The sequence below is a fragment of the Homo sapiens genome, chromosome 11, assembly GCF_000001405.40.
Source record: "Homo sapiens chromosome 11, GRCh38.p14 Primary Assembly".
In the NCBI taxonomy this organism is placed as follows: Eukaryota; Metazoa; Chordata; class Mammalia; order Primates; family Hominidae; genus Homo; species Homo sapiens.
Genome location: NC_000011.10, coordinates 97,860,964 through 97,884,524, shown reverse-complemented (window position 1 = coordinate 97,884,524; position 23,561 = coordinate 97,860,964). Strand labels below are relative to the sequence as shown.

At 35.1% G+C, this 23,561-nt stretch overlaps 1 long non-coding RNA gene across 1 annotated transcript in view; it reads left to right on the top strand.

Moving 5' to 3' along the window:
• LINC02713 (long intergenic non-protein coding RNA 2713) overlaps positions 1–5,744 on the top strand; it is a 78,303-nt gene extending 72,559 nt beyond the window's left edge. Inside the window, exon 6 of the long non-coding RNA NR_183633.1 lies at positions 5,624–5,744. This is a non-coding gene — a long non-coding RNA (long intergenic non-protein coding RNA 2713). The remainder of the gene's footprint in view (positions 1–5,623) is intronic.
• Positions 5,745–23,561: the final 17,817 nt, after the last annotated feature.

Here is a 23,561-nt window from a genome sequence, read left to right as displayed (position 1 = left end):
TTGATGGGGCCATGTGAACCAAAACAATGTTTCTTTGGCAGGGCCATCTGATCACCAATGTTCACAATAGTGGAAAGGAGGAGACAGGCGGTATAAGTGATGACTGAAGTTAAAGTTCTACATGCCTGTATATGTAGCGGCTTGGAGTCAAATTTCATTTGGCAAGAGTTTTATTTCTGTTGTATCCGAATCATCTGTTTTTTCCTCTCTAGTATATCATAATCTGCTGTAAAGAAAAATTTACCTACCATTAAAATCCCTTCTTTCTGTCCCTCTCCAACTATTTCTCTAATCCCTTGATTTTTTTTCCACATTGTTTTCTAAAACAAAATCAAAAACAAAAACAGCCCTTGCTTTCTCCACATCCCCACCTCCTTTAGGCTTTCAACTTACTTTTAGTCTGATTTGTTCATACCACTTACTCACTTTACACACATCAAATCACCGAGGGTCTTTTTCTTGTCGAATGCAATTTTCAATTCTCTCTTCCTAACTGAACAGATCTCTAAGCACCATTCAACACATTTGACTCTTATTTATTCTTGAAACACTTGTTTATGGGCTTTTATAACTCCAAATGCTCTTGGTTTTCTTCCAATCTTCTGCATGTCTCCTTAAAGTCCTTAGTTATCGCCTCCACTTTTGTCAAATCTTTGAATTATTTGAATTATTTTGGTGATTTCTTCACTTCTTTCCTTTGTATTTTGGCTTATCATACGATGTGGGCTTTCTGGTTTATAGGTATTAATTCTTATTAGAAGAATGATCCATGCACTGTAAGCTGATGCTGCCACCTGACCTCTTTGAGTTTATTTTACCATTTAAGCAATGGGCAAATAAGGGAATAACTTTATTGCCTGGGCCGATTGATCCTGAGTATGAAGACAGCATTTTTAACCTTCAGACCAGAGAGGATTCTGTGTAAGCCTAGAGGATTCTTAGAGCACCTCCTTAAAACTCTGCTATTCCGGGGTAAATTGTAAAGATATCCTACTGTTAAAAGATGAATTTAGGCACATTAGAACTTAACACGTTAATTTCAACATTCAGCCATTTACAAATAGGGCAGGACCAGACTGCAGGGAGTTCAGCGCTCCGCAGAAAAGGCAGGAGAGGAAAACTTTTATAAGGTGTTGGAGGAAGCAAGACAAAGAAAATATTTATTTGATTAGTTAAAAAGGAAATTCCCTAGTTAGAGGCTAGTTGGCAGTTTCTGGCTGGTAAAGCTTAAGTTTTGTTTTTCTTGGCTAAACACATTCACTCTGAGTTAGGTTTTGTTTTGCTTATGTTGGGACCCAATGTATTGGGGCTATCTCAACCTAATGGCCTGCCAGATAATTTTTTTAATATTATAACAGCCTGATAAAGCAGGACTACTAATGGCTCAGACCTTCAGACCTTTCCAGAATGAAAGTTAGACTATCTCCCCTAAGAAAAGACTTCAACCAGCCTGATAGCTAATTGAAAGCAAAGGGAATATTGGGTTTGGATAGTAAAAGGAAAAATACACACACACACACACACACACACACACACACACACACACACACACACACACAGTTAAATATCAACTATGGCCATATATCCAAATGCAGACATGACTACTGTGGAAGGTAGGCAGTTTTCTTCCTTGCTTGGTTATTATTGAATGTACCAACCAATTCCCTTCTCATCTTCTTTCCCTGTTACAATTGACCCTTGAACAACACAGTGGGTAGGTGTGCCAGACCTCCTGTGCAGTCGAAATTTCTGTATAACATTTAACTTTTCAAAGCCTACTGTTGACCAGAAGCCTTACTGTTAACATAAACAGTCAATTAACACATATTTTGCATTTTATAGATATTATATACTGTATTCTTACAATAAAGTAAGCTAGGGAAAAATGTTGTTAAGACAATTATAAAGAAAAATATATTTATTATTCATTAAGTGGAAGTGAATCATCATAAAGAGCTTCACACTTGTTACCTTCACACTGAGTAGGCTGAAGAAGGGAAGGAAGAGGACGGGTTGGTGTTGACACCTCAGGGGCGGCAGAGGCAAAATAAAATATAAGTGGACCTACACAGTTTAAACCTATGTTGTTCAAGGGTCACCTGTATTTTATGTAAGATATTCTAGTGTTGGTTAAGCCCCTAATTCAGTTTTTAAGCTAAGGATTTTAAGCAGAATTGTGATTAATCTAGTGAAGTAATGAATATCACACAGAGACTTCTAGAATGACTTACAGAAGACTGTGCTTGCCTTTTATGTGAGAAAACGCATTTTTTTTCAAGGAACAGTAGCATTATGTTAGGCTGAGATAAAATATGGCTTTTTCTTTAACTTAAGTGAGGAACAGTATATATAAATCAAACAGCATCCATTTAAAATGTAGAATTTGATCTATTTTCACAGTTGTATATACCCATGAAACTGTAATTACATACCCTGTAGCCAAAACGTTTTTAAAAATTACAACCAAAATACTTCTCATGCCCATTTGTAGTCTATTCCTCCCTCTTTCCACTGCCAGACAACCATTTATCTGCTTTTTGCTGGTATACTTTAATTTGCATTTTCTAGAAACTTCTATAAATGTAACCATTTAATATGTATTTTGTGTGTCTAGTTTCTTTTACTCAACACAATAATTTTGAGAGTTAACCATGTTACTCTGTGTGTCAGTAGTTAGTCGTTTTTATTTCTGAGTAAAATTCCATCTTCTGAGTATACCACAATTTGTTCATCAATTTATCTGTTGATGGGCATTTGGCTCATTTCCCACTGTTTTGCTACCATGAATAAAGCTACCATCAACTTTTTGCATAATTTGTTACGCAGCAATATGTGTTTGTTTAGTATCCAGGAATAAAATGTCTCCATCCTACGGTGGGTTTAGGTTGAACTTTTGAGGAAACTGTTAACCAAGTTTCCAAAATGATTGTACCATTTCACGTTCCCACAAGCATTGTGAGTTACGATTGTTATACAACATCATCAACACTTGGTATAGTCAAGTGTTTTTAATTTCTTTTCTTTCATCATTTTTTAAAAATTTTAATAGCTGTTAAGTGGTATGTCATTGTGGTTTCATGGTTTTAATTCATATTCTCCTAATGGCAGAAAATTTTTTGTTTCATATACAATTAGCCACTCCTATATATTTTTATAGTTACTTATTTGTTAAAATTTTATGCCTACTTTAGTGTTGGGGTGTTTATGCTCTTATTATTGTTAGTGTTCTTTATATACTTAAGGTATATGCCCTTTGTTAGATATGTGTATTTTGAATATTTTCTCATCTTCTGTGCCTTTCATTGTTTCTTAATATGTCTTCTGAGCAACAAATATTTTAAACTTTTATTAAGTCCAGTTCACCAATTTTGTTATGATTAGTGCTTATTTCCTAAGGACTCAAAATATTTGCCCGTTCCAAGCTTTCCAAGATATTTTTCAATGTTTTCTTTTAGAAGCATAATAGTTTTACCTTTTTACTTAAGATATTTGATCCATTTTAAATTATATTCTGTGTATGGAGTGAGGGATAATTTTATTTTCATGTTTATTTCCATATGCATATTTAGTTTTTCTAGCAATGCTTTTAGAAAAAAAAATCTCTCTTTTCCACACTGAATTGCTTTGGAACCTTTGTCAACATTTGTCTAGGTGTGTGTGTATCTATACCTGGATTGTTTATTCTGTTTCAGTGATGTATGTCTACCTCATTGTCATTACCATGCTCTCTTAATTAATTTTAAAATAATTATTCAAACAAAAATTCAAATATAAGTCCTGTAACTTTGCTCTTCCTTTCAAAAATTGCTTTTGCACTCCTTGGTCATTTACATTTCTGTATAAATTGTAATCAAGTTGTTAGATTCATTTTTTTAATGCAAACAAATTTTGATCATGGCTGCTTTGACTTTCCAGATCAATTTGAAAAGATGTAACATCTTAATAATATTGAGTTATTCTAATTCATAAATATAATGTATATCTTCCTTAAGTATTGTTTAAAAATGTTCTGTCAGAAATACTCTGCAGTTTTAAAAGAACAAGATCTGGTTAGAGAAATGCAAATCAAAACCACAATGAAATACCATCTCACACCAGTCAGAATGGCTATTATTAAAAAAGCAAAAAATAGTAGTTGCTGACAAGGCTGCAGAGAAAAAAAAGAACACTTATACACTGTTGATGAGAGTGTAAATTAGTTCAGCCATTGTGGAAGACAGTGTGGCAATTCCTCAAAAACCCAAAACAGAAACCACTTGACCCAGCAATCCCATTATTGGGTATATACTCAGAGGAATACAAATTGCTTTACTATAAAGACACATGCACACATACATTCATTGCAGCAATATTCACAATAGCAAAGACATGGAATCAGCCTAAATACCCACAATGATAGACTGGATAAAGAAAATGTGGTACATATACATCATGGAATACTATGCAGCTGTGAAACAGAACAAGATCACATCCTTTGCAGGGACATAGATGGAGCTAAAGGCCATTATCCTTAGCTAACTAATGCAGGGACAGAAAACCAAACACCACATGCTCTCACTTATAAGTCGGAGCTAAATGATGAGAACACATGGACATATAGAGAGTAACAACACATACTAGGGCCTCCTGGAGGTTGGAGGGCAGGAGGAGGGAAAGGATCAGGTAAAATAACTAATGGGTACTAGGCTTAATACCTGGGTGGTGAAATGATCTGGCCAACAAACTCCCATGACACAGGTTTACCTATATAGCAAACTTGCACATGTACCCCCTGAATTTAAAATAAAAGTTAAATTTAAAAAAAAGTATGTGGTTGTGTTCTAATAAAACTTTATTTACAAAACATCAGGAAAACAAAACAAAAAGCAAAAACATGATCTGGTATGTGCTTTGTTTAATTAATTTCTAAATATTTTATGGTTTTTAAAATGCTATTTTGAATGACATTATTATAATACAACTAGTGTTTTCGATTAATATATATTCTGTGACCTTGTTATATTTGCTTATTAATTGTAAAAGTTGTTTTGTATATTCCTAAAGATTTTCTCCTGAGATTATCATGGGTCTGCAAATAGAAGTAGTTATTTCATTCTTTGCAATTTGAATACCCTATATTTTTATCTTGCCTTATTGAAATGGCAAAAATCTCTAGTACAACATGTGATCAAGTGGTAACATCAGGTACCCTTCCATTGTTATTCTTACTGGTCTGCTTTTTGGATACTGTATATGGATAAGAGAAGATGAAAGCATTTGAATTATTCAGTGCAGCAAACTATATCATAAATATATCATTAGTTGAATCTCGGTATCATCACAGACCTTGAAAGCTTTTCTCTATACCTTAGGAGTAGAATGCTTGATAAAGGAATTTTCCAGATTTCCTTCTCAACAAGATTCTGGTTAGATTCCAGCAGTGAGGGACACTCATACAAAATTGAAAAGACAGTGTTATGGAGTGACTTTGTGTTCCCCTGAAATTCATATTTTGAAGTCCTAACTTTGAGAGGTAATTAGGGTCAGATGAAGTAGTGAAGGTGCTGCGCTCCTGATGGGATTAATGGCCTAATAAAAAGAGGAATCTCTCTCTCTCTCTCTCTCTCTCTCTCTCTCTCCACAGTGAGAAGACAGCCATCTGCAAACCAGAGAGAAAGTCCTCATAAGGAACTGAATCAAACTTCACCTTGATCTTGGGCTTCCCAGCCTTTGCAACTGTGAGAAATAAATGTGTCTTTATGCCACCTTGTCTATGGTATGTTATAGCAGCCCAAGCCAACTAATACAGGCAGGAACTGAAGAAAACATTACTTACTAGCAGCTGCTGTGATCAGGTAACTCAAATTATTGTTGGTTTTCAGCAGCACCAAAAAGAGTTGGAAATAGTCTGCTCTGAGCTTCATGCAGGTAGAACCCCTGTAGTGGCATCTCTGAACTCTCTGTGTTATCAGATTTCCCAAAAGCTCTTTTCCTCTCCCTTTTCCCCTTCCACCTTACCATTGATTATATCCGTTTCTATTCAATCATATTAAATAATTTCTTACTCAAAATATTTATGGGTTTTAAATTTTTCTTACTCTTTGATATACTTCAACAAAGCAAAGGTATCTAGGGAGTTAATTGTCTTGTTTCTGGGTGTCTCTGTGAGGGTGCTGCCAAAAGAGATTAATATTTCCGTCAGTGAACTGGGAGAGGCAGACCCACCCTCAATCTGGGTGGGCACCATCTAATCAGCTGCCAGCATGGCTAGGATAAAGGCAGATGGAGGAATCTGGAAAGACTAGATTGGCCTAGTCTTCCTGCCTACATCTTTCTCCCATGCTGGATGCTTCCTGCCCTCAAACTTTGGACTTTAAGTCCTTCAGCTTTGATACTCTTGGACTTTCGACCACAGACTGAAAGCCGCACTGTTGCCTTCCTTACTTTTGAGGTTTTGGGACTCAGACTAGCTTCCTTGCTCCTCGGCTTGCAGATGACTTATTGTGGCCATGTGATCGTGTGAGTCAATACTTCTTAATAAACATGCATTTATATATACATCTATCCTGTTGGTTCTGTCCCTCTAGATAACCCTAATACAAGGAACCACCTAGGATTCTCTCTTCTAGTCTTCTCTGCCCACAAATTCATTCTCCACATTGTACCCCAAACAAATTATCTTGAATACAAATTTCATGGCATCCCTTTGCCCAACATCAAGCAGTTGCTTCCAAATTTCAAGAACCTTTACCAGCACTGTAGAACTTTCTTTTGTGATGGGAATGTTTTCTATTCTATCCATTACAGTAGCCACTAGGCACAAGTGGCTATTGAGGACTTAAAATGTGACTATTGCAACTGAGAAACTGAATATTTAATTTTTTAAGACAGATTTACTAAAGTGTATTTTAAATAGCCACATATGGCTAATAGATCATACTTTGCATAGCATAGTCATTCTGAGATAAACTCCAAAGTCTTTAAGGTTATCATTTTAAATCCTTGTAATGTCAGAGTATTATAAGTTTTATAGTACTCTTTTGAAAGCAACAAAACTTAGGTTAAAAATACATAATTCTTATTTAAGAAGCTGAATTATGCCTTGTAATTTGAAGATGTTATTTTAACCAAGGACAGCATGCATTGAGAAGTTCTATGTGCAACATTTGGTGTTAACTTGAGGAAACACCTCTATCAGGACATCTGCTTTGCTGGCATTGTTTTTGTAATGTGGCATTATAAAACCTCACTTACTCCAAGAAGTTGAACAACTATGAAAAAAAGTCAAGGTTGCACTCAGAACCTTTGTATACTATTGATGATCACTAAATATTGTTAAAGTCACCACAGTAAGACTTTATAAATGGTTACATTGTTCAGAGTGTACAGATTTTGCATAACTTATTAGATTTGAGAAGTCGGTCTTAGGAGCAATACTATTTTAAGCATTGTCAGTTCAGTTCAGATTATCACCCTTGAACAGGATAGTAAAATAGCCCCTTTACATATCTTTAACAACATGGTGATTTTCAGATCATTTCTGTGAAACAACTTTAACCTGGAATCTTTCTCAAAATATAAACATTTTGGCTGAATATTTTTGACAGAATGCTCAAGTTTCATTCCTATATTATGAGTCCTAATACAGGAGAAAGACAACATTTATCCCACTACCTTAAATTGGCAAATATGAAAATACCCAATTGATTAAAAAGTCATACATTGAGTTAAAAATGGGCCTGGAAGAGATCTGAGTGTTCTCTTTACACAATTACATATTCTGTTTTCTGATCTATATAATCTGATCAATTCATTAGTCCTCTTATTTTCAATTCATGATTTCTTTTTACATTTTCTAGATGAGAGACATCACTTGGCAGGCAAGATGAAAGGAGTAATTAAGATTCTGTTTACTCTGTGAGTTGTAATTCACAGTTCCTGCTGATTAGCAATGAGCAATATTTGAAAAGTTGACTGTTATTTTGATGTTTGTTTGCTACACTTAGGATAAGAATAACTTTCCTCCATGTGTGGCTTACCGGTGAATGTAAAGCACTCATTTTTACAGGACAGAGAAATAGTCATGGAGGAGCCATAAATCTGAACATCCAAATCTAAATTTACCTGCCATTTCTCTTTAACTGAGAATTTCCCTGTAGAAGGGAAAGTGATACACCTGTGGAGGTCAGGCCAAATGCCTTCACTCACTGGAGCACAGAGCAGCAGGCACAGCACCGAGGCAGTCAGAATGCCCTGGCAGCTGACAATGTTGGTGTCTGAAAACGGATTTTGGCTTTCCATGTTGCATCCAGCGTGAGAACAAAGAAAATTGAAAAAAAAGAAAAAAAACAGGTGAGAAATATTCCAGGTTATGTAAAGTTTGTGGACTACATGTTATTGTTTCTATATTCTTATCATATTTTTAGTTCATGAAACTGAGTAAATAGTATATTAAATGACATGAACAAATTTTCCATCTAACTCTGCCATCGACTCAGTGAATTGCCTAACTTGAGTCGATTCACCTCTGAGCCTTCTATTCTAGATCTGTAAGGAAGAAAATATATTAATGCCTGAATTACTGGCTTGTTTCAAGAAATAAATGAGTAACACAAGTGAAATCACTTGTTACTCTAGATCAATGCTTCTCAAACTTTAGTGAGCACCAGAATCACTTGGAGAACTTGTTAAAGCAGGGCTTTTGGGCATCATACCAAGGCAAAGGCTACCAATTTTATTGACATCCTTCTATCTAATAGAAAAGGTAACCTCCCCACATATACAGACAGAATTCTGTGAACAATTTTCATCAAGAATGGAAACAAAATAGATTCAGTAGATATTAATATATTTAGTTTTTCTAGACTGAGCCACATAGAATGTTTTATAGTATTGATACAGGTAGTTGTATAGCCATTCTATCACTTGATTAAAAATAATAATTCAAGTCTATATTATATAGCTCTTGATTGTTAAATATGAAAGCAAAGCCTTTTTTTTCTTTAAGAAGGCTTAACAAATAACTGAATGATCTGTTTCTAAACTTTGAAAGAAATCATACTGAGTGTGCTGAATAGTGTCGCAAAATTCTCTCCCACCTAGAACATAAGAATTTGACCTTATCCAGAAATAGGGTCTTTGCATATGTAATTAAGATAAGCAATAAATGAGATTATACTGGATTTGATTGGGCTCTAAATCCAATGAGAGTATCCTTATAAGAGATAGAAAAGACACACAGTCCCAGAGAGAAAGGTGATGCAAAAATGAATGCAGAGATTTTGTCTACAGGCCAAGGAATGCCCAGGATTGCCAGCAACCATCAAAATTTAGGAGAGAAGAAAAGGAAGCCTTCTCCTTTAGAGGCTCCAGAGGCAACCAACCTTGTTGACACCTTGATTTTGGACTTCTGGTCTGCTGAACTGTAAGACAATAAATTTCTGTTGTTTTATGTCCCCAAATTCATAGTAATTAGTTAAGTTAGGCTTAGAAAACTAGTACAATCCTGGTGGGTCTGAAAATAGATATGTAAGAAGTTTACAGGGTTTAGCCTCTATTTTATTTTGGTTTTCAAGTACTTTGTTATATAAAGAAATTTTCAACAATGTTTTTGAATCCTGGTAATAATAGGCAATGCTTTCACTGGCCGTTCATTATCTGTTGCCTGAAAGACCTTCTCCTCTGCATTTGGCTTTCTAAGTCATTTATGGCTTTCTGTACTTTCTTGGTTGACTCTCATTTCCCACTTTGACCTTCTGTTACTCCTTATACTATTCACTCTGCCACTATTCTTTCAACAACAATGTTATGCATACATTTTATTTCTTTTTTCCTCTCCGATACTCAACACGGACAGGACTTTTTATTTTGTCTCAAATAGCTGGCACTGGTACTTAGTAACACTTGTAATTTCTGCCTCTGCCCAAGCACAAAAAAACAATCCTACAGGCCGACTTTGGTAGGCTGAGTAATTTGTTAACAAAAAAATCAACCAGCAAAAACTATATAGACATAGATGTAGACATATATGTGTGTGTGTGTGTGTGTGTGTGTGTGTGTGTCTGTGTGTATCTCCTATAATAATGGGTAAAACAGTTTTCATAGTACGCCTGCTTTGACTTTATTGTTGTGAGTTTTTGCTTTCAAAAGCCCAATGAGAAATCAGTTTCTGGGCACAGCTGCTCTGCTGTGCAAGAGAATAAAATAGGGGTGGCTTTAACATATGCTAATCATCATGGTGCTGGTTCAATTTGAGCTACAAAATAGACAATATTACAATTCTCAACTGCTCTACTAAATAGCAGTTACTGTACACTTTAAGGTCATGTCAAAACTGTCCTTCCTGGTGGACTGTCATTAGAGTCCCATCTGTATCCATCAGAAATTTGTGATTTATGCTATTTTAATTAGTTTATAAATAATTCATAAAAGAACATGCTTGCTTGCTGTGAAATTCATTCTTTAAAGAGATGAAAAAAATTATGGAGAAAGAGGAAAATGGTAAATCTAAAGGTTTAGGAATTCTGTTTTGAGGGAACTATTTCAATAGTGTATTCTCAATTTGTATTCAACTTCGTGATTATGAGTAAGAGGAATTAATGTAGTAATATTTTACTGAATTGGCTACAGAAAAAATGAAGCTTATTAGAGCCTGTATCATGTCATCTGTGCATTTAAACCATTATTTGATCTTCTAAAGCCTGCAAAGATTCCAATTTATTCATTCTGTATCATATGTGTTCATTTTGCTCTTAAAAATATAGGTGTAAGGCACTGAATGTGCTTCCAATATGTTTACTATATGGCACTCAAGATGCCTGTATACTATTACCAAAATTGTAATAGTAATGTAATGATTAAAGTCCACACTGAAGTTTCACTGTGCCATTTTGAATGGTCTTTTCTGTAGTGATGAGTTAAGGTTAGAATCATCGCACAACAAAGATATCTTTGATTCTACTGTAACTAACTGGAATAGAGTTCAAGATAAGCTAACATTAAGTTGGCTGCCCGTTTTGAATTTTTATCATATAAAGCCAATCCAGTTAAACTAATTTCAACTCATTCTGGTCTTATGTCAAGGTTGAGAGTCTTTTTTTTAGGCTGAACTTTCTAGCCAGGGTCTAAAATTCTCAAAGGCTCTATTTTTATATATGGATATAATGTAAGGCATTAAATTATTCAGTATATATTTACCAGATGCTTTAGGTACGTGTCTGACATTGGGAGAGAGAGTGGGAAATTCAAGAATACATGTCTTGTAATAAGTACCACTATTAGACTCCTAAAAAGCCTAAATTTGGGGATACCCAAATCTGTGATCTGGTTTCAGCACGTTGAAGGTAATTACTTACACTTTGAAAGAGATCAGCCACAAAACTGCACTCAATTTTTGTTTTTATTAAAGTCACTGTATTTCAATAAAAGTTGATTTTAGAGCTAAATGTAAGCCAAAGTCATGGTAACTGACTAGTATTTCTATGATTCTGGATTTTAACCAAAGCAGGCATATTTCAGTTTAATACAATGTTTGAATAATTATATTGAGGTTTTGTTTAAAAAGGCTTTTCTGAATTTTTATTGTAATACCTATGTCTAGGCAAATATAAAGCAATGCCAATATTCACGTATTCAACTAGAGAACAGATATAAAATAATAGATTCTGAAATCATGTAAGGAAAACTAGACACATAAGAAGCTATGAACAAAATATCCAATAATAAAATGCAACTATTGATTGACAGTCATAGACTTTGTTGTGAATGAAACTTTCATGATGACATCAAAATGTCTTTTCACATTTTATCTGTAAACATGCTAAGAAATTAAAACTTAAAGCTATGTGCAGTTACATAGTTTTTCAGCAGTAGAGTGACATTATTCTATCTGTATGCTAGAAAAGTTACACAGGAGAGAGCAAGATGATGGAATAAATGACAGCACTGTTCATCTCCTCCATAGGAACACCAAATTTTAATAACAATCTGCATATAGAAAAGCACGGTCACAAGTCCCAAAAATAAAGTGAGAAATCACTGTATCCTAGTTGTAACTTTATATCACTGAAAGAGGCATTGAAGAGGGTAGGAGAGATAGTCAAGAATCATGGATCCCACCCCTTCCCTGTCCGCTGGCAACAGCCATGCAGCATGGAGAGAGTCTGTGCATGGGAGGGAGGGAGAACACAGGGGACTTTACATTGAACTCAGTGCTGTCCTGTCACAGCAGACAGCAAAGTTGTGCTGGGCTCAGCCAGCACCCGCGCATGGAGGAAGCATTTGGACCAGACCCAGCTAGAGGGAAAATACCCATCCCAGCAGTCAGAACTTGAGTTTCTGGGCAAGCCTGGCCACCACAGGACAAAGTGCTCTGGGATCCTGGGTAAACTTGAAAGGACAGTCTAGGCAACTCCTAGTGCTGGTCTGGACTAAGAGCCAGTGGACTAGGGTAGAATGTGTCCTAGGAAGACACCAGCTGGGGTGGCTAAGGGAGTGCTTATGCCACCCCTCCCCCAACCCCAGGCCATGCAGCTCACAGAAATGAAAGTGACTCCTTCCTTCTGCTTAAGGAGAATAAAGTGAAGAGTAAAGAGGCCTTTTTCTTTCATCTTAGATACCAGCTCAGCCACAGTAGGATATAGCACTAGGCAGAGCCATGAGGACCCCATTCCAAGCCCTAGCTCATAGACAACATTTCTAGACACACTAGGCCAAAAGGGAACCCACTGCCCTGAAGGGAAGAATGAAGTTCTGGCAGAGTTAATCACCTGCTGAATAAAAAGACCTTGGGCCCTTTTTAAAAAGCCAGCAGCAATACCCAGGTAGTATGCCATAAGCCTAGACTCTAAGATGTGCTGGCTTCTGGTGTGACCCAGCACATTCCTAGCTGTTATGGCTACAGGGAGATACCTCTTCTGTTTGAGAAAAGCAGAGGGAAAAGTAAAGGGGACTTTTGTATAGCACCTTAGGTCCCAATTTGGCCACAGTGGGGTAGACCAACAAATGGTCTCTCAGTTTCCCCAAATCCAGGCCTAGGCTCTTGGACAGCATTTCTGGACCTTCCCTGCCCTGAAGGCTGAGTCCCAGGCCTGGCAGCATTCACCATAAGCTGAGTGAAGAGCACTTGGGCTTTAAGTGAATGTTTGCAGTGGCATGGCAGAACCCACCATGGATTGAATGTAGTGGTGGCCACAGAGAGAGGAGCCTCTGCCTGTGGAAAGGGGAGGAAAGAGAGAGAAGGACTTTGTATTGTGGTTTCAGTGACAGTTTAGCCACAATAGAATAGAATATCAGGTAAATTTATAACGTTTTGGAATCCAATCCCTGGCTCCCAGACAGCCTGTTTGGATCTTCTAGGGATGTGGGGCAACTCATTACTCTGAAGGGAAGGACACAAACATGGCTGGCTTCACCATCTGTTTATAATAGAGCCCTTTCAAAGAGAGAATTCAAAATAGCTGTTTTGAGGAAACTCAAAGACATTCAAGATAACACAGAGAAGGCATTCAGAATTCGATGAGATAAATTTAACAAAAACATTTAGATAATTGAAAAGAATCAAGCAGAAATTCTAGAGTTGAAAAATTCAATTGACATACTGAAGAATGCACCTGAGTCTCTTAATGGCAGAATTGGTCAAAGGGAAGAAAGTATTGGTGAGCTTGAAGACAGACTATTTGAAAACACACTGTCAGAGGAGACAGAAGAAAAATGAATAAAAATGAATAAAGAAGGCCTACAAGACCTAGAAAATAGCCTCAAAAAGGCAAATATAAGATTATTGGCCTTAAAAAATGAGGTAGAGAAAGAGACATGGGGCAGAAAAATTATTCAAAGGAATAATAACAGAGAAATTCCAAAACCTAGAGAAAAAAATGCATATGCAAAAACAAAAAGGTTATAAAACACCAAGCATTAACCCAAAGATGACTACCTAAAGACATTTAATAATCAAAACTCCCAAGGTCAAGGATAAGGAAAGCATCTCAAAAGCAGCAAGAGAAAAGAAATAAGACTTAGTATGAAAAGACATAAAGAGAAATGAGAAAAAGATGAAAGCAGGGGGAAGAGGTTAAAGTGTAGAGTATTCATGAGTTTTCTTTTGTGTGTTTGTTATGCAATCAATGTTAAATTATAATCAGTTTAAAATAGTGCATTATAAAATACAACAGGTAGCCGAAAAAATAAAAGACAAGAGATTAAAGTATACCAGCAGAGAAAATCACTTTTACTAAAGGACAATAGGGAGGAAGGAAAGAAGGAAGGAAGAGAAGACCAAAAAACAACCATAAAACAAATAACTAAATGACAGGAGGGAGTAAGTCCCAATGTATCAATAGTAACATTGAATGTAAATGGACTAAACTCTCCAATATAAAGACATAGAATATTAAAAATGTATTAAAAAAAACATGACTCAGTGATCGGTTGCTTATAAGAAACACACTTCACTTTTAAGGATACTTATAGACTGAAAATAAAGGAATGGAAAAAGATATTAAATGCCAAGGGAAACCAGAAAATCTAATGAGTTGCTATACTTATATAACGCAATATACATTTCAAGACAAATATTGTAAGAGACAAGAAAGGTCATTATATAATTTAAAAAGTCAAGTCAGCAAGAAGATATAACAATTGTAAATATATATGCACACAACACTTGAGTCTGCATATATATAAAGCAAATATTAGAGCTAAAGAAAGAGAAGGACCTCAATACAATAAAAGCTGGATACTTCAACATCCCATTTTCAGCTTTGGACAGATCTCCCAGACTGAAAATCAATTAGGAAAGAAAATCAGACTTAATATGCAGTATAGGACAAATTAACCTAAAAAATGTCCACAGAACATTTCATCCAACAGCTGCAGAATACACATTCTCCTCGCCACATGGATGATTCTCAATGATAGACCATATGTTAGGTCACAAAACAAGTATTAAATATTCAAAAAAATTAAAATAATATTAAGCATCTTCTCTGATTACAATGGAATAAAACTAGAACTCAATAACAAGAGGAATTTTGGACACTGTACAAACACATAGAAGTTAAACAGTATGCTCCTGAATGACCAGTGAGTCATGGAGGAAATTAAGAAGGAAGTTGGAAAATTTCTTGGTACAAACTATAATGGAAACACAACATACCAAAACCTATGGGTTACAGCAAAAGCAGTACTAAGAGGAAAATTTATAGCAATAAGTGTCTACATAAAACAAAAAAGAAAAACTTCAGGTAAATAATCTATCAATGCGTCTTAAAGAAGTTAAAAAGCAAGAGCAAACCAAACCGAAAACTAGTAGAAGAAATAATAAAGAATAGAGCCAAAATAAATGAATTTGAAATGAAGAAAACAATACAAAAGATCAAGGAAATAAAAAGTTGTTTTTTTGAAAAGATAAAATCAACAAACCTTTAGCCAGACTAATGAAGAAAAAAAGGGAAAAGACCCAAATAAATAAACTGAGAGAAGATAATACAAAATTTTTGATACTAATAATTAGTGGCTACTAGAAGCAATTTTATACCAACAAATTAGAAAATCTAGAAGAAATGGATACATTCCTAGACAGATACAACCTACCAAGACTGAAATATGAAGAAATCCAAAACCTGAACAGACCAATAACAAGTAATGATATTGAAGCCATAATAAAAAGTCTTCCAGTAAAGAAAAGCCCAGGACCCTATGGTTTCACAGCTAATCCTATCAAGCATTTGAAGAAGAACTAATAACAATCCTACTGAAGCTATTCCAAAAAATAAAGGAAGAAAAAATACTTGTAAACTTATTCTATGAGGCCAGTATTACCCTGATAGCAAAACCAGACAGACACACATTAAAAAACAACAACTATAGGCCAATATCTCTGATAAATATTGATGCAGAAATTCTCAACAAAATACTAGCAAACCAAATTCAACAGTATGCTAACATGATCATTCATCATGACTGAGTAGGATTTATCCCTGAGACAGAAGGTTGGTTCAACAAATGCAAATTAAGCAATGTGATATATTGTATCAAAAGAATGAAGTACAAAAACCATATAATCATTTAAATTGATGGTGAAAACCATTTGATAAAATTCAACATCCCTTAATGAAAAAACCCTAAAAAACCTGGGTATAGATGGAATGTACCCCAACATAATAAAAGCCGTATACAACAGATCCACAGCTAGTATCATACCGAACGGAGAAAAACTGAAAGCCTTTTCTCTAAGATCTGGAACAAGACAAGACTGCCCACTTTTGCCACTGTTACTCAACATAGCGCTGTAAGGCAAGAGAAGAAATAAAGGGCATCCAAATTAGAAAGAAAGAAATTAAATTATCCTAGTTTGCATATGATATGATCTTATATTTGGGAAAACCTAAAGACTCTACCAAAAATCTAAGAGAATTAATAAACAAATTTTGCAAAGTTGCAGAACAAAAAGTATGCAAAAATTAGTTACATTTCTGTATGCAAATAGTGAACAATCTGAAACAGAAATCAAGAAAGTAATTATATTTACCATAGCCAAACATAAAATTAAATACCTAGGAATTAACCAAAGAAGTAAAAGATCTCTACAATGAAACACATAAAACACTAATGAAAGAAATTAAAGAGAAAACAAAAAAAGGAAATATATTCAATGTTCATGGATTGGAAGAATCAATATTGTTAAAATGTCCATGCTATGGAAAGCATTCTATAGATTAAATGTAATGTCTATCAAAATACCAATGACATTCTGCACAGATATAGGAAAAAAATTCTAAAATTTATATGGAACCATAAAATACCCCAAAGAGCCAAAGCTATCCTAAGCCAAAAGAACAAAACTGGAGGAATCAAATTACCTGACTTCAAATTATACTACAGAACTATACTAATCAAAACAATGTGGTACTGGCATAAAAACAGACACATAGAACAATGGAATAGAGTGAGAACCCAGAAACAAATCCCCATACTGACAGATAACTCATTTTCAACAAAACTGCTGAGAACATACTTTGGGGAAAAGACAGTGTATCTAATAAATGGTGCTGAGAAAACTGGATATCCATGTGCAGAAGAATGACACTAAACTCCTGTCTCTCACCATATACAAAAATCAAATAAAAATGTAATAAAGTCTTGAATTTAGGATCACAAACTATGAAACTACTACAAGAAAACACTGGGGAAACTCTCTAGGACATTGTTCTGGGCAAACATTTTTTGAGTAACACCCCACAAGCACAGGCAAGCAAAGCAAAAATGAACAAGTGGAATCACATCAAGTTAAAAAGCTTTTGCACAGCAAAGGAAACAGTCAACACAATGAAGAGACAACCCACAACCTACAGAATGGGAAAAATATTTTCAAACTACCCATCTGAGAAGGCATTAATAATCAGAATATATAAGAAGTTCAAACTACTCTGCAGATAAAATACCTAATAATCTGATTAAAAAATTGGCAAAAGGTTTGAATAGACATTTCTCTAAAGGAGACATACAGATGGTAAACAGGCATATGAAAAGGTGCTCAACATCACTGATCATCAGAGAAATACAGATAAAAACTACAGTGAGATATCAACTCACCCCAGTTAAATGGTTTTTATCCAACAGACAGGCAACAAATGCTGGCAAGGATGTGGTGAATAGGGAACCATTGTACACTATTGGTAGGAAGGTAAATTAGTACAACCAGTATGGAGAAGAGTTTGGAGGTTCCTCATAAAACTAAAAATAGAACTACCTAATAATCCAGCAATTCCCCTGCTGGGTATGTACCCCCAAGAAAGGAAATCAGCATAGAAGATACATCTGCCCTCCCATGTTTGTCTCAACACTGTTCACAATAGGCAAGATTTGAAAGCAAGATTTGCATGGTGTTGCAAATGGACGGAACTGGAGGTCATTATATTAGGTGAAATAAGCCAGCCACAGAAATACAAACATTGTATGTTCTCACTTACTTGTGGGATCTAAAACTCAAAACAATTGAATCCATGGAGATAGAGAGTAGAAGGATGGTTACAGGAAGCTGGTAAGGGTAGTGGGGGACTAGGTGGAGAAGCGGGGATGGTTACTGGGTATAAAAAAATACAGAATGAAAAAGGCTTAGTATTTGCTAGCACAACAGGTTGACTGTAGTGAATAAGAATGTAATTGTATGTTTTAAAGTAACTAAAAGGTTATAATTGTAACACAAAAGATAAATGCTAGAGGGGATGGATACTCCATTTTCCATGATGTGTTTATAACACATTGCATGCCTGTGTCAAAATATCCCACGTACCCCATAAGGAGTGATGAACTAGGAAATTATCTGTATTCTCTTGTCAAGTTTAAAAATATTTTAAAATAAAAATTAACACGTTTAACGTAAAGGAAAGCAACTATAAAACATTAAAAATAAGTTAAAATGCGACATTGTTCAATAGTTGAAATACACATTTTTTTCTGCTCTCTCATTTTAATAGTAAGCATATGTTACTATCAGGGAAAATGCTCTTTAAGAAATTTTTAGAATCTCTCTCTTCGTCTTTTTAATCTTATCTTCTGAAACAAATCTTATTTTTTTCTAAGTAAAAAAAAACTTTAAATGATTTTTAGCAATCTAAAAATATTTTATGTGAAGCAAAAATATTTTGACATTTATATAAATTATTTTGCTGTAGAAATTCATCCTAATTGAGATATTATGGTTGTAAATTTTGTAGAGAAATATAATGTATAAGCATATTTAGGTGTATTCCTAGTTCTTCAAGCTTGCTTCATATACCTGCCTTTCCACTTTATTGTCTGATACTCCTCAACACATTCAATTTGGCTTTTATTTTGCTCACTCAGCTGACACAGAAATGGCATTTTACTTTTTTTAAAAACCACAATCCGAAGGCTAAATCTCTTCTCTTTTTTCGTTCTTCTTGACCACACTGTAGTCATTGTACAGGAAATGATTCTCTCCTTCAAACTCAAAAGACTTGTGTAAAGGAAGTGATAGTATTAATTAGCTGAAAAATTATTCTCTTCTAAGCCACTGCACTGGTTAATTAATGGTCACTATAGAAGTGTTTGGAGAAGCTGGAAAAAAGGTCAGGGGTTTTAAAAAATAATTGTAAGAGTAAGATTATTTGGACTACAAACAATATGTATTTGAAAAATCTGTCTATTTAATCTTTGGTAATACTACCTGTGATATAATAAAAACACATCTTGATTTTGATCCCACATCATTCCTTTAAAATATGTTCAGCTTACTGTGTATAGTGGCTTTGTACTCTCTGAGCATGGGAAATACTTAAAACTGACATTTTCTCTTCTGGGCATGTCCAAGGGCCTCAGATATGTCCGTAGCTCGTCACCATCAGCTTCCTTCTACTGGGTCTTCTATGCCTCTCAAAAGGCACATTGTAGGGGGCAAAGATTGCCCACTCTGGCTTTCTTTCTTTTTTGTGTTCACAGAATGTACTCATGTATCCTTCTCCTTTTAGGAGAACAAACATTCTATCAAAAATTGGAACAAGACAAAACAAAACCCTCACCTGGCTTAGCTGACAAATCAGCTAGTTAGCTTATCTTTCTCCCTGTAGATTCTGCATTGAGAGTGAGGCTACAGTCCTGAATCTCTTCTATCCATAGGGAAGTGCATAATTTTCCAACAGATCCTACTAATGCTCACTTTCTCTAGAATTAAGGTGAAGGAGGTATCACCTCCAAAATCCCAATCCCAAACGGGGAATTCATGAACCCACAGCATCAACCTATCTCCAAGGAAATGTCTTCATACATTTTAAAAATCTCTCTTTTTGTGTGTGTATGCATCTGCGTGTCTAATAAATCTTTATTTTGCCTTTTTTTAAACTCTTATTCTAAGTTCAGGGGCCCATGTGCAGGTTTGCTAAATAGGTAAATATTTGTCATTGGATTTGTTGTAAAGATTATTTCATCATCCAGGTATTAAGCCTAGTACCCATTCATTATTTTTCCTGATCCTCTCCTTACTCCCACCCTCCACCCTCCAAGGGGCCCCAGTGTATGTTGTTCCCCTCTATGTGTCCATGTGTTCTTATCATTTAACTCCCACTTGTAAGTGAGAACATGTTGTATTTGGTTTTCTGCTCCTGTGTTATTTTGCTAAGGATGGAGCAGGCTCCATCCATGTCCCTGCAAAGGACATGACCTCATTATTTTTTATGGCTGTGTAGTACTTCATGGTGTACATGTACCTCATTTTCTTTATCTTTTGTCTATCTAAAGACCTGAATAGTGTAAGATTCATTAATATGAAATAAATTATTTCTCCAATATTTCTTTTGGAAAGAAGATGAAAAAATATTCTCCAATATTTCTTTTGGAAACATCTGCATACAGGAAAGCTTTGTTTTACGCTTATTACAGTATCTTATATCCATTGTATTGGTAACACATAAATAGTTCCATTTTAACACTGTCACACAGAAAATAAATCCATAGAAAAAAATTATGAGACTAAAGTTCTTAAATATTTGGAAACTATAGAAGAAAGAATGTACATCATCTAAGGAGGTGGTGGTCATCTGAGATAACTGATTTACATATTTCACACATATGCAGGGAGACAGAGAATTGAGCCATATGATTTTACAAAGTCATTTTTGTTCTACAGGAAATTTCACAAGAGCAAAATATGATAATATGATTAATATACCATAGAGTTGATACGTTAGGGTAGCAGGCAGGAAAGTGGGAGAAGTTGCCAATTAGAGGTCAAGATCTTATTCAAGAACAGAATTACACTTAAAATGACACATAAGAATGGAGACTATTATGTCTGTCTTCATATTTTTTTGAGAAATGTGTTAAATTTCTTCTAGCTCTGAAATACTTTTACTCCAGTGAAAAAAATCTCATGAACTCTTCACCCAGTTTCCCCCAGAGGCCATAACTTATATAACTATAGCACAACATCAAAACCAGAAACAACAATACAATGTATGTATTGTCTTGTGCCTTATTATCATATTATGTAACCACCAGCAGAATCAAGATCAGAACTGTTCCATCATCAGGAAGATTTCCCTTCTGCTAGAACTAGGGAATTAGGCACACCCACCCTGAAGCATGAGCAACCACTAATTTGTTCTATGTATAATTTTGTCATTTTGAGAATGTTATATAAATGGAATCATACAGTATATAACATTTTTGATTGGCATTTTTAGTCAGCATAGTGCCCTAGCATATAGTTGGATCATGTTTTTAAAGCCATTTTGCCTATCTCTTTTAATTAGTGAATGTAGCCTGTTTACCTTCGATAGAATTATATTAGGACTTAAGTCTGGCATTTTATTTTTTTCCTTTTTGTTCGTGTTTCTCCATTTTCTTTTTGCTTTTTTACTCTGTGTTACTTGAATATTTTTTAGAATAATATTTTACTTTGTATAGTGTTTTTGTACATCTTGTATAAAATTTTAGGGGTTTTTATAGACATTAAGTTATATATACATAACTTACTAGATTCTGCTCATGCCCACATTTTATGTTTGAGTTTAGTATAAAAATCTTATGTCACCTTGTCTCTTAATTCTATATAGTCTATAACTGTCCTAAATATTTTCTCTACCCGTGTTTAGAACCACATCAGAAAATATTATCCTTTTTGCTTCAACCATCAAACATAATTTTTAAAATTCAAAAAAAGAAAGAAAATCTTTTGCTCTTTAAATTTTTCTTTCTTTCCACCAGATGTCCCAAGATTTCTTATTTTACCTTTTCCTCCTATTTAAAGAACTTCCTTTAGACAGTTTTTCAAGGTAGGTCTGGTCATAAAAATTCTCTTAGTTTTTCCTTCATCTGGGTATGTCTTTATTTCTTTTTCATTTTGCTGGATATAGAATTCAGACTTGACAGTTGCTGCTTTTCCAGAATTTGAAAAATGTCATGCTACCTCCTTTTGGGTTGCATAGCTTCAGATGAGAAATTTTAATTAGGATAAGGTATCATTTCTCTTTCACTGCCTTCAAGATTTTTCTTTGTCTTTCTTTAGTTTTCAGAAGTTTGATTGTGATGTGTCTTTGTGAGGGTAGTTTGGGGTTTATCCTGTTTAGGGCTTACTCAGACCCTTGCACCTAGTGGCTTTTTTCAAATTTGGGAAATTATTGCTATTATTTCTTTGAATGTATTCTCAGCCCCATTCTTTTCTAGGATGCCTAGCCCAGATCCGTCCCCTTCTAGGACACCAAGAACATGAATGTTAGCTCTTTCGTTATAGTCAGTTAGGCAGATGGATTTGAGACTGATTTCCCGTCTACTCAGCTGCAGCACCTGATTAAAGCCTTCTTCCTTGGCAATACTCCTTGTCTTAGGGATTGGCTTTCTATCAAGCGAGCAGCAGGACCTAGACCAAACCCCTGGTTTTCCAGTAACACAATGTCTTCATCTGCCTTTGCTGATAGGGTTGAGGTTGATCCTATGATTTTTTTCTGCCTTGCTTAACTGGGATAAGGTAAGACAGTTATGTCCATAAGTTCCTGCCTTGCTGGAGTTCCACTTTCTGGTCCTAGATAAAGCAGAAGTTTTGGGGAGATTTGTTGTTTGTTGTTATGGTTGCTATCATGCCCATTGGCTATTCCAGGTTGCCAGCTTCTGTAGCACCAAGACTGGGGCATATGAATAAAAAAATCCAAAAACTAAAAAACAATGTAATGGTTAGTGTTATATGTCATTGTGGCTAACCTGTAGTTCTCAGTTATTCAACTGAACATTAATCTAGATGTTACTGTGAACATATTTTATATAGATGTGATTAAAGTCTATAGTTTACTTAAAGTAAAAAAGATTATTTTAGATAATCTAGGTGAACTTCATTAAAACATCTGACAAGCCTTAAAAGCAAAATGAACACATCCCAGAAGGAAACAAATTCTGCCTGTGGACTGCAGTTTCAGCTTTTGCTTGAGTTCTAGCCTGTCTTTTCTCATAGCCTGCCCTACAGATTTTGAACTTGCCTAGCCAGCTGCCACAGTCACATAAGCCAATTTTTTGCAATAAATATTTTGGTACTAAGAAGTGTACTACTATAACAAATGCCTAAAAACATGGAAGTGGTTTGGAATTGGATAATGGGTAAAGTCTGAAAGAATTTTAAGAAGCACAATAGAAATTGGGAGATTAAATTCAAACGTGATTTTTTGGTAGGGGGACACAAACTTTCAGTCTATAATACAGCCGTAGCAAACTAATACGTAGACTGAATCCATTTTTTAAGTGAATGGATGGAGAGGGAATATGGTAATGTGGTTACCTCTCAGCCTTCACATATGTACCTCCGTCTGTACAGGTGTGGGAGGTCTCTCATTTCCCCCAACCTTGTCACTTTTCATTAAACCTAGCATTTCACTGGGAATTGATGATTTTACTATTTAAATTATGTTGCACTATGAAGACTGAATGGATATGAGCAGGGGAGTCAGATTGGCTGACCTTGCAACCTGGCTCTGCCACTTAGTGTCTATGTAGGGTTGTTTTGGCAAATAATATTTACTGCTTTTGCATCAGTTTCCACATTTTTAAAATGTGCATACAGTCTAACTCTTAATATTCTT